General features: G+C 42.7%; 1 protein-coding gene and 1 pseudogene across 7 annotated transcripts in view, besides 3 other annotated features; both read right to left on the bottom strand.

Moving 5' to 3' along the window:
• Positions 1–12,341, bottom strand: part of GPR160 (G protein-coupled receptor 160) — a 47,398-nt gene that overhangs the window by 11,733 nt on the left and 23,324 nt on the right. The window lies entirely within an intron of this gene.
• Positions 4,392–4,592: a silencer, noted in NCBI's record as "peak4913 fragment used in MPRA reporter construct". NCBI's record gives its function as "represses an SCP1 promoter by STARR-seq MPRAs in K562 erythroleukemia cells {active_cell/tissue: K562}" and the evidence as "EXISTENCE:reporter gene assay evidence [ECO:0000049][PMID:32103011]".
• KMT5AP3 (KMT5A pseudogene 3) lies at positions 10,704–11,417 on the bottom strand (annotated as a pseudogene).
• Positions 10,886–11,406: an enhancer, noted in NCBI's record as "H3K4me1 hESC enhancer chr3:169780042-169780562 (GRCh37/hg19 assembly coordinates)". NCBI's record gives its function as "activates a minimal SCP1, AML or CMV promoter by ChIP-STARR-seq in naive H9 embryonic stem cells {active_cell/tissue: H9 hESC(naive)}" and the evidence as "EXISTENCE:reporter gene assay evidence [ECO:0000049][PMID:30033119]".
• Positions 11,407–11,928: an enhancer, noted in NCBI's record as "H3K4me1 hESC enhancer chr3:169779520-169780041 (GRCh37/hg19 assembly coordinates)". NCBI's record gives its function as "activates a minimal SCP1, AML or CMV promoter by ChIP-STARR-seq in naive H9 embryonic stem cells {active_cell/tissue: H9 hESC(naive)}" and the evidence as "EXISTENCE:reporter gene assay evidence [ECO:0000049][PMID:30033119]".

Below are 12,341 nucleotides of genomic sequence, written 5' to 3'. Positions count from 1 at the left end.
TTGTTAACAAATTATTAGCAAACTGAATCCATCAATACATCATGGCCAATGGAAACTTATTTTAACATTAGAAAGTCAATCAATGTAATTCACCACATTAACAGAATAAAGGAGAAAGACTATAAGATCACCTGAAGAGACGCAGATGCAGCATTTAATAAAATCTAATATGATAAAAACAAACAATAGAAGGTCACGTCCCTAACTAGATAAGAAGTCTCTATGAAAAACCAAGATCAATCTCATGGTGCTGAAAGTGGATATCCATATGGGGGAAAATGAACTTTCACTCTTACCTTACACCATACACAAAAATAAACTAAAAAAGGATCATATGACTAAATGTAGAAATAAAACTAAAATTTCTAGAAGAAAACAGAAGAAATCGTTTGCAATCCTGGGTAGATATATTAGCTTCCTAGGGCTGTCACAACAAATTATAATAGGCAATAATTTTTTCTTTTTTTTTTTGGTAAGAGAATCTTGCTCTGTTGCCCAGGCTGGAGTGCTGTGGTGCAATCAAAGCTCACTGTAAACTTGAACTCCCAGGCTTAAGTAATGCTCCTGCCTTAGCCTCCCAAGTAGCTGGGACCACAGGCTCATGCCACCATGCTTGGCTAAGTTTTTAAAATTTTTTATTTGTAGAGATGGGGTCTCGTTTCGTTGTCCAGGTTGGTCTCAAACTCCTGGCTTCAAGCATTCCTCCTGCCTTGGCCTCCTAAATTGCTGGAATTACAAGCATGAGCTACCATGCCCAGTTGACTGGTGGTAAATTTAAACTGAATGGCTCATGATATTATTTGGATGTTTGTCCCCTTTGAATCTCATGTTGAAATGTGATCTCCAATGCTGAAGGTGGAGCCTAGTGGGAGGTGTTTGGGTCATGGGGGTGGATCCCTCATGAATGACTTGGTGCCCTCCCCACAGTAATGAGTAAGTCCTCACTCTTATTTGTTTACAAGAGAGCTGGCTGGTTAAAAAGAGTCTGGGACTTCCCTTCTCTTCCCATTGCTCCCTGTCTCACCATGTGACACACCTGCTCCCCCTCTGCCTTCCACCATGACTGGAAGCTTCCTGAGGCCTCAACAGAAGCAGATGCTGGTGCCCTGCTTCCTGTACAGTCTGTAGAACCATGAGCCAAATAAACCTCTTTTCTTTATAAATTACCCAGTCTCAGGTATGCTTTATAATGACACAAAACAGACTAACACAACTTAAAGAAACAACGGAAATTTAATCTCTCACATTCAGGAGGCCAGAAGTCTGAAATTCAGTTGTCAGTAGAGGCCGGGCACGGTGGTTCATGCCTGGAATCCCAGCACATTGGAAGGCTGAGGCAGGTGGATCACTTGAGGTCAGGAGTTCAAGACAAGCCTGGCCAAACTGGTGAAACCCCATATCTACTAAAAATACAAAAGTTAGCTGGGCATGGTGGCAGACACCTGTAGTCCCAGCTACTTGGGAGGCTGAGGAAGGAGAATCGCTTGAACCCGGGAAGTGGAGGTTGCAATGAGCCACAATCATGCCACTGCACTCCAGCCTGGGTGACAAAGCGAGAATCTGCCTCACAAAAAAAAAAAAAAAAAAAAAAAGCTTGTATACAAATATATGTAGGAGCTTTATTCACCAATGGCCCCAGAGTGGAAATATCCCAAATATCCATCCACAGGAAAATGGATAAACAAATTGTAGTAAATCTAGGCAATGGAATACTTCTCAGCAACAAAAATTAATATATGCTCCACACAGGGAAAAGCCTCAAAAAAAAAGCCTCAAAAACATGTTATGTTAGGCCATTCTTCTGTTGCTATACAGAAATACCTGAGGCTGGGTAATTAATTTATAAAGAGGTATTTCTGTTGGTGATACAGAGTCTTGCTCTGTTGCCCAGGCTGGAGTGCAGTGGCGTGATCTCAGCTCACTGCCATCTCTGCCTTCTGAGTTTGTGCGATTCTCCTACCTCAGCCTCCCGAGTAGCTGGGACTACAGGCATGTACCACCATGCCCGGCTAATTTTTTTTTGTATTTTTAGTAGAGACGGGGTTTTGCCATGTTGGCTAGCTGGTCTTGAATTCCTGACCTCAAGTGATCCACCCACCTCAGCCTCCCAAAGTGCTGGGATTACAGGCGTCAGCCACTGTGCCTGGCCTATAAAGAGGTTTATTGGGCTCAAGAGTTCTGCAGGCTACACAGGAAGCATGGCGCTGGCATCTGCTCGGCTTCTGGTGAGGCCTCAGGAAGTTTACAACCATGGCGGAAGGCAAAAGGGGAACAGGCATCTCACATGGCGAGAGCAGGAGCCAGAGAGAAGGGGGAGGCCCCACATGCTTTTAAATGACCAGCTCTTGCGTGAACTCATAGGGAGAGCTCACTTACCACCAAGGGGACGGTGCCAAGCCGTTCATGAGGGATCTGCCCCCATGATCCAGATACCTCCTAACAGGCCCCATCTCCAACATGGGAGAGCACATTTTAACATGAGATTTGGAGGGGACACATATCTAAACCATATCACATGCCGAACAAAAAGAGCCTAGCAATAAAGGGTATAGAGTGTGTGGTTCAATTATATGGGATTCACAACAGAAAAACGAATCCCTATGGCCAGAGAGACTATCGGTAGAAATCTGAAGCCAGGCTGGGGCAAAGGTGAACCAGGCAATGTTCTGTAGAGATGAAAATGTTCTACATCTGGATTGGGGTCCAAGTATATACATTTTTCAAAATTCAAATTATACACTAAAAATGAGTGTTTTAACTTATTTTTAAAGAATATTCATCTCACAGCATTAAATATAAAAGTAAAAACCTGGAATTAATGTAAATCTCCAATAGCAGGAAATTGGCTACATAAATTATAACTTCCAATGAACAGTGCCTTCTTTAAACAAATGTTCCTTCTCATAACTCCACTAACATAACAGTAAATCAAGTTTTACCAGATTCTAAAATGAATAAGAAAACCTCATTGTGATGCTGAGGAACACTAGAGAACCTAGTCTCTAGTTGTTAAACTTAAGTACTGGCCAAGAAGCCTTTCTCCTGCCGTTCCTGTGCTAACTGTACCACCTGGTGACAGAATAGTAAGTGAGGTGATGTTTACTTTTTTTGGAAGTACTCTAGCTAATATGAGTGAATAAGGAATGATAAAATTTGGAAACTGCCCAATTTGCCACCTCTGATGTACTAAATGGAGGTAGCCAAAGATCATCAATACTAATACTGAAAGGTGGAAATTGAAGAGTACCTTGCTATCTACAAAGTGGGCTTGCCAAAAAATTAGAACCCGACCAAACCTGTAGATTCAACTACTGATGTTCAAGAAAGAGGACAATAACTTATTTAATGACCCCACAGGATGCAGTAAAGAAAATCCACATGGTGGTATGCTCTATAGGATTACAATTTGTTACTTCAATAAATTGTTTCAACAACAATACAAAAATTAAGACTTAGGATATATCAACTAAGTGCAATGTGTAGAATTTATCTGAATTCATGGCAACAAAGAATTACATATATAAGACAATGGGAAATTATGGTATGATGGGCTGAATTATATCCCCCCAAATTCATATGTTGAAGCCTTTAACTCCCAGCACCTCCAAATGTGACTATATTTGGAGATAGGACCTTTAAAGAGGTAATTTGGACACACACACATGATACTAGGGATGCTGGTACACAGAGAAAAGGCTGTGGGAGGGCACAGCGAGAAGACAGCCATCTACAGGCTGCAAAAGGCCCCAGGAGAAACCGCCCCTGGGACACCTCGATCTCACCCTTTCAGCCCCCAGAGCTGTTGTTTCAGCCACCCAGCCTGTGGTGGTTTGTTATGGCAGCCCTAACAAATTAATATGTGTGGTTATATTTAAATCTCACTATTTAAAATAATACATACTAAAATATTTACAGATGAAATAGGTTGTCTGGAATTTGCGCCAACATAATGCAGTGTGTGTGCTGGGGGTCGAGTGGATGAAAGTATAGATGGGGCAGGATCGACCACTGGTTAATGGCTGTTCTAACTATTTGTATGTATGTTTGAAAATTTTCATAACTTTAAAAAAAATGTACAAATCTCCAAGGACAAAATTTCAGAGGCTGGAAAATGAACAGATGGACGGTAAATGAGTGAGCCCCATCTACACAAAGTGTGGTCCAAGCATCACCTAGGAGACTGCTATTCACATAGACCCTCAGGCTCCAGCTCAGATCTATGAAACCAATCTGCAGTTTTAATAAATCCTCAGGTGAATCACATACAGTGAATACAGACTGAAGCTAGCAGTGGAGAAAGCAGAGTCGCAACCCAATTTATACCTCAGGACCCTCAAAAATCTCAAGAGTGGCTGACCCAAGTGTCTTCAGAAAGGGATGCAAAGATGGGGATAAAAACAGATAGATTCGTTGCAAATGAAATAAGCAGTTAGGTCCCCAGATCTCTTCCCTGACTCAGTGCAGCAAATGACTCCCTCTCCAACTGCGGAGTAAGAATGAGGTTTTCCCCTCTGGGGAAGATAAAACAATCTTTGGACGGTAGGCAGAGTTGAGGATTAGAGGAGCATCATACTGATAACAGGGAGACTGCATAAAAATACATATAGCGGAAGTTGAGACCTCTCCAGCCTTTTTACAGTTGGATTTCAGGAATACTATTATTACAAGATATAAAGACTCAAACAGTTCTCTCTAGGCATCAGCCCAGGAAGAAATATCTAAAGATACTACATTGAATCTTCCCTGAAGAAACAGCCTAGATACTGCCCTACTTATAAATATGACTGGACATCCAAAGATCCTCAGACATTCAAAGAAAATCTCTAGTATTGAAAGTTAAACAAATCCACAAGCAGAAAAAAGACAACTTGGAGGAAATAGACACAATGCTAGATAGAAGAAAGCTATTTAAAAACTCATTGTTTTCAGGGAGAAAATATTGCATCCATACAAGAAGAGGAGGCTATTTATAATAACAACAGAAAACAAAAAAGACCTCTTGGAAAATAAAATATGATGGCAGAAGTAGTAAGGTAAACAGAGAGTTGGAAAATAATGTTTGGGAAATTTCCTAGAAAAAGTGAAATAAAAAGAGAAATAGTTAAGAAACATGGAGGACCAATCCAACAGGTGCAAACTCTGAATAACAGGAGTCACAGAAAGAGAGCAAACTGGAGGGGAAGAACTCAAGAAAAGGCAATAATGAGCCAAGTGCAGTGGCTCACACCTGTAATCCCAGCACTCTGGGAGGCCAAAGTGGGTGGATCACTTGAGGTCAGGAGTTTGAGACCAGCCTGGCCAACATGGAAAAACCCAATCTCTACTAAAAATACAAAAAAGAAAAATAATTAGTGGGGCATGGTGGTGCACGCCTGTAATACCAGCTACTCAGGAGGCTGAGGCAGGAGAATAGCTTGAACCTGGGAGGCAGAGGTTGCAGTGAGCCGAGATCACACCACTGCACTCCAGCTGGGTGACAGAGCAAGACTCCGTTTCAAAAAATAAATAAATAAAAATAAAGAGTGTTTCAACTTATAAATGAAACGTAAAATTTAGACTTAGAATTCCACCATCTTGCAACAACTTCTCCCCAACCCACCACCCACGTAGACATTTTAGCACCTGTACCTACCATCATCTCAACAGGAGAGACAACCAGACATTTTGTGCCTCCTATATGGCAAACCTGAGTTTCATTAAATCTCTGAATCCAGCTGCCAGTTTGCAAGAAATAGAGGATTGAGGGATATACTGAGCTGAATCATGAGCATGCAATTAGCAAGACTCACACTGTGGAAAACCCTATTGGTCAAGGAGTCCAGTTCTTCAAGAGAAAAACAAAGGGGAAAAATGGAGAAGTAATTTAGAGAGTAAAAAAACACATCCCAGATAACTTTTTTTTTTAAAGGTAAGACTAAATTGGAGTCTCTAAAGATATGCATTTGGGTGGTAAAACTTCTAAATGCAAAGAAGTGCTGATGACTGTAAAAGTGAAGTTATTTTGGGGGAAGCGAGGGACTGTGATTGCAGAGGTCACATGGAAGGGGCCTATTGGAGCAAAGTTCCTGCTCTTTACCTGAGAGGTGGTGACATGGGAATGGGGGTCAGGCTTTTTGGAAACACTGGAAGCCAGAGATGCCTTCAATTCTAAGGGACTGATCAAACTAGAAGAAAAAAAATGGTAAAATATTAACCTAATTTATAAAGAGCTCCTGGAAATCAAACAAGAAAAAGATCAAAATCCCAATATTGAAATAGTAAAATGAACAAAGGATTTGAAGAGATAATTCACAAAAGAGGATAAATGGGCTCTTAAACATATGAAAGAAGGATCAGCATCACTCTTAAAAAAACAGGCCTGGCACGACGGCTCACGCTTGTAATCCCAGCACTTTGGGAGGCTGAGGCAGAAGGATCGTTTGAGTCCAGGAGTTCAAGACCAGCCTGGGAAACATGGCAATATCCTGTCTCTACTAAAAACACAAAACTTAGCTGGGCATGGTGGCCTATGCCTGTAGTCCCAGCTACTTGGGAGGTTGAGGCGGGAGGACTGCTTGAGCCCAGGAGGTTGAGGCTGCAGTGAGCTGTGATTGCACCACTGCACTCCAGCCTGGGCAACAGAGAATGACTGTCTCAAAAAATTAATTAAGAAGTATAAAAGAAAAAATAGAAATTTAAACTACACTGTTTACCTCATAAAGGATAGGCAAAACCCCAAAATTTGTCCACACAGTATCTCTAGTGAGGCTGTGGAATAAATAGGTATCTTAACCTATTTATCTGGTGGGGCTGAAGAATATAACTGGAGCAACTCCTACAAATGGCAACCTGGTAATATTTATCAAAATTACAAACATACATATATGTCCTGTGAGCCAAAAACTCCTCTCCTAAGGATTTATCCTATAAATTTACTTGCATGTGTGCAAAAGTAGGTGTTTATAAGAGTATTCATGGAGGCATTGTTTAAAATAACAAAAGACTGGAAACTACATTATAACTTAAACAACTTACTTTAAACTTAAATGTCCGCCAATAGAGAACCATTAAGTAGATTATGGCACATCTATCCAGTGCAATACTATGCAGCTCTCTTTTAAAAATGAGGAACTCTCCATGTAATGATATGGACATGTCTCCAAGACACATTGTTAAGGGGAAAAGCAAGACACAGAATAGAGCAAGAAATACACATGATTTGCATTTGAAAAGGGGAGAAATGGCCAGGCGCGGTGGCTCACACCTGTAATCCCAGCACTTTGGGAGGCCGAGGCGGGCGAATCATGAGGTCAGGAGATTGAGACCATCCTGGCTAACATGGTGAAACCCGTCTCTACTAAAAATACCAAAAATTAGCCGGGCGTGGTGATGGGCGCCTGTAGTCCCAGCTACTCGGGAGGCTGAGGCAGGAGAATGGCGTGAACCCGGGAGGCAGAGCTTGCAGGGAGCCGAGATCGTGCCACTGGACTCCAGCCTGGGTGACAGAGCGAGGCTCTGTCACAAAAAAAAAAAAAAAAAAAAAAAAAAAAGAAAAAGAAAAAGAATAGTGTCAAGTAATCTTCTATATATACATGAAGAAACCCTGGAAGGACACTTAAAAAGTGAGCACTGGGCATGTGTGCATGCCTATATCCCAGCTACTCAGGAGGCTGAGGCAGGAGGATTGCTTGAACCCAGTAGTTTGAGTATAGTCTGGGCAACATAGCGAGACCCCATCTCTTAAAAAAAAAAGTTAAAGACAGTGGTTACAGGGGTAGGAACTTGGCAGATGGGGTCATGAATGAGATGAAGACTTCAGTACATTTTTTTTCCTACTATGAACATTCTGCTAAACATGTGACTGTATTAAGTATTCAAAAAATTAAACACATTGAGTAAGGAAAAAAACAAGTTATCTACAAATTGGTACAATTCTCAATTACACAAATAATTTAAGTATTTAGTTTACTTTAAAAAGCTTTTTAATATTTCATGAAAGAAACTTTCCAACATAGAATTCTACACCAAACTAAATGGTCAATTAAGTGTAGGTATAAAATGAAGCCACATACTCAAAAATGTTTTACTCACATGAAGTTCTTAGGAAGCCAATGAAAGAAAGGCATACGTCATCAGAATGAGGAATAATAAACTAGGAGAGCAATACATGCGGTCCAGGAAATGGGATGCATTAGAAGAGAAGAAAAACCATGTAGAGTACAATTCGAGGATTCCGAGGTTGGTGAAGATTATCTAGGCATCAGATCCAGAGTGCACAATCTAAATTAGAGTAGGGCACATGGCTATGGGAGAAATTCCTCCAGGAAGGTGGAAATTCCAAATATCTTTGAACATACCAAAAGATTTACACAAAAGAGAAGAGTCTGTGGTTGAATTAGCGATAAGTATATAGAAAAAAAAGCAGACAGATAACTGAAAGGAAAACAAAAAAGTTTAGAAAGGAAATGTAATTGTAATGTACGATACTCATTAGCTATTTTATTTTAAAATAAAACTTTATTTTTTAAAATAATTTTTGTTTCAACTTTATGATGACAAATAATTTTCAAGTTTATTTCCTCATTTGTTTAAATACAAAGCTAAACCACAAACAGGTACAACAAAGATACTATCTCACATCTACACTCCCGTCAGATCCTCTTCGGCTGACCACTCACCAGGCTGACTGGGGGAAGAGACTTTCTTAGGTAGCACCGTTGTGAGGCCCAGGGTGGGGTGGGGGAATCAAAGGCGAGGACAGGCTCTCATACCTGCTTCCATTCAGATTTACCTGGGACCAGGGTGGGCAGGAGACACCAGGTCATGACTCCCGAGTCTCACTCAGTAAGAATGGGTCCTGCATAGCTGGGTGCGGTGGTTCACGCCTGTAATCCCAGCACTTTGGAAGGCCGAGGCGGGCGGATGACGAGATCAGGAGTTTGAGACCAGCCTGGCCAACATGGTGAAACCCCGTCTCTACTAAAAATACAAAAAATTAGCCAGGCGCGGTGGCATGTGCCTGTAGTCCCAGCTACTCAGGAGGCTGAGGCAGAAGAATCGCTTTAACGCGGGAGGTGGAGATTGCAGCGAGCCGAGATTGTGCCACTGTACTCCAGCCTGGGCGACAGAGTGAGACTCTGCCTCAAAAAAAAAAAAAAAAAAAAAAGAAAAGAAAAGAAAAGAATGGGTCCCGTGTAGGGAGGGTCGAGGCCGCCACCTACTCCTCCAGCCTTGACAGTCTAGGTGAAAACCTTGGCCTATCTTAGATTCCCGGGGGTCTCGGCCCTGCCCGCACACCTGGGCGCCTTTCTCTGAGGCTGGCAGCCGCAGTTCGGGTTGGGGGATCTGGGCTTGTGTACTCACCCCCGCCAGCTCATGGCTGCGACCTCGCAGGAGCCGTGGGTGTCTGACAAACACGAGGCCTAGACGGCAGCTCTGGAACTTTCAACCCAGCAGGACGCGGGGAAAACTGGCAGGGGTATTAAGTACGTAATTTCTGGTCCCACTACAAATCTCTAATTTTGATTAGAATAGAGTATCATCTCAATCTCTTCTACAAAAACAAAAGCAATGCCCCCCCCAAAAAAATACAGCCGCTTCACTCACTTCAAGACCTATGTACATGTAAGTTGTTTCCTGTGTTTTATTATTATTTTTTAATAAATTCAGCGTTCACATTTCTACAAAGAATTAGCCCAGTTTCAGGAAATTCTGCCCGGCAGGGAAGGCAAGCCACACTCTCCTCACCCACGTCTGGTTTGACTTCACACCCCGATGCTTCCAGGTGCTCAGAAAAGCCGCAGCGGGTGGAAGAGGAAATCTATGCCGGCCCGCGCTCAGGGCCACGAGCTCAGTAAGCTTTCGAGAAAGCACGGGGAAGACAAGCTTACTGCCCAATCTTTTAAAAATATATTCATACACTTCAAAGAGCGCCTGTCCAGATGTTAGGAGAACAAGAGCTTGGAGCCATCCCGTCCAGGCCTTTGGGAGACAGCGTCTTCCTCATACCTCGTCGCGGTGTGGGGGACACGTCCCAGCTCTTCCACCGGAGAGAGGAGACTCGCGCGGCTTCCTAGTTCACGTTTGGCTCTAATCCTGTGCTGAGGTTTTTTTTTTTTTTTTTTTTTTGCTTTTTTTGTTTGTTTTTGAGACATGGTCTCACTCTGTCACCCAGGCTGGAGTGCAATGGCGGGATCTCGGCTCACCGCAACCTCCACCTCCTGGGTTCAAGCGATTCTCCTGCCTCAGCCTCCCCAGTGGCTGGGATTACAGGCATGCACCACCACGCCCGGCTAATTTTTGTATTTTTAGTAGAGACGGGGTTTCACCATGTTTGCCAGGCTGGTCTCAATCTCCTGACCTCAAGTGATCCACCCGCTTCGGCCTCCCAAAGTGCTGGGATTACAGGTGTGAGCCACCGCGCCTGGCCTGTGTGCTGAGTTTTTGACTGCATGCATGGGAAGCACAAAACGTTCAACCTGTATTAAAAAAAAAAAAAAAGGCACAAAAACAACTAGAATGTAAAAGTTTTGGTAATATAAAGCCATCTGTTTAAGTCCACCTTGGAAACCTGTAACATCCATTCATTCATTCATTCGTTCATTCATTCATTCAGTCATCTACTTATTTTGAGCTGGAGTCTCCCTCTGCCTCCCAGGATGGAGTGCGGTGGCGCGATCTCGGCTTACTGTGGAGATCCACGGAGATCCACCATGGAGGGGTCCCGTGGCGTCGGTGATCTCCGTGAGGCTCCGGTGCTTTTCTACCACAAAGGCGCCCCGGGAGAGCTCCCTCTGGTGTTCACACCCGGCCTTTGTCATTGATGAGGTCAGTCTTCACTCCTTCTTTCCTTTCCGCTTTCAACCAATTCATCTATTCTTTCCCTTTCTTCAAATTGCAGCTCCGCTTTGCCCTTCCTGGAGCTCCTTGGGACAGGGTAGAAATCCGTGAGTTTGCGACTTTTCCTTGAGCTTTTTTTCGGGGGCCTGTTTGCCCTTGATGGGCTATTTCAAGGCTTGCTTGGCGATGGCTGCATTGGTGGAATCACAAGACGAGGCCGGAGGTTTTGGAAGTTCTGCTGCTTCACATTTTTGGTTTGGAAAAGGTGCGAGGGGTCCTCTCCTGGCGTCTTTGATCTTCTGTGCTTGGGCTTCGTGCTCCGTGTTGCATTCTTTTCCTGTGGATTCCAGCTAATGGTTTCCCCTGGCATTTGACTTCGTGACGTGTAACGGAGTTCTCCTCCTGAAGGCTGGAACACATTCCAGAGCATTTGTTAGGCTCACGGAGGAAAAGATCTTTGATTGCCAGGACATACATTCTCCCCAACGTCGGTGCAGCGCCTCCCTGGACCCCTCTGCTCCACTATCTGCGGGCTCGGGGCCGTCGCTGTCACCCCCGCTGCTGCCTCCGCCGCACGGGACTTGGACATCTTCCTGCCTGGAGAGGGGGACCCTGGGGAGGGGGCGCTCAGAGCGCAGAGCTGTTTGGAGGGCTGTGGTGGGAGCCGATGTCCCCCTCCTGCCGCTAGGCCCAGTAGGGCCCGACACACCCACCTCAGGAAAATTTTCTTTTTAGTGACACATAAAATAATGATGTCTTACAATGGATGGCATGTTGATTGAATAAAATATTGTAAAATAGACCTTATAAAATAAAAAAACTTGGAATTTAATTTTTATTTATTTATTTTAAAATCATAGAGATGGGGTCTCCCTATGTTGCCCAGGCTGGTCTCAAACTGCCGGCCTCAAGCGATGCTCCCACCTCCGCCTCCCAAAGTGCTGGGATTCCAGGCAGGAGCCACTGCGCATGGCCTTGAAATTTAAAAATAAGAAAATGTACAGAGATAGTATATAACCATTTAAAAGAATATCTTTGAGGACTATTTAATGGAGACTTGCCAATAATTATAATATGGAACAAGCAGAAGGAACATAAAAAACCATGTAGAGTACAATTCAATTTTGTTTAAATATATGTAGATGAGATGGAAATATACCAAAGTGTTAATGATGGTTATCTTAGTGTGGTCTTATAAGACTTCATTTTATCTCGATATTTTCCCATTTTTCCTATGATGATTTATCTTATAATCGGATAGCCATTTTCATAACTATGATACCATCATTTTATCTATGAAATCAAATTATATAGTATTTAATACATAGTCCATATTAAAACTGTCCCATTAATTAAAACTGTCCCATAAATATTAATTTAATGAAATTAAATTAAATGGTATAGTATCTAATACATAGTCCATATTAAAACTGTCCCAATGTTGTTAGAGTTTTTTTTAATACAAAATCCAATCAAGGATCACATATTTGTCATGTCTTGTTAGTCTCTTTTAATTTTGGATA

This window comes from Homo sapiens, chromosome 3 (assembly GCF_000001405.40).
Source record: "Homo sapiens chromosome 3, GRCh38.p14 Primary Assembly".
Taxonomy (NCBI): Eukaryota; Metazoa; Chordata; class Mammalia; order Primates; family Hominidae; genus Homo; species Homo sapiens.
This window is presented reverse-complemented; position numbering and strand designations above follow the sequence as displayed.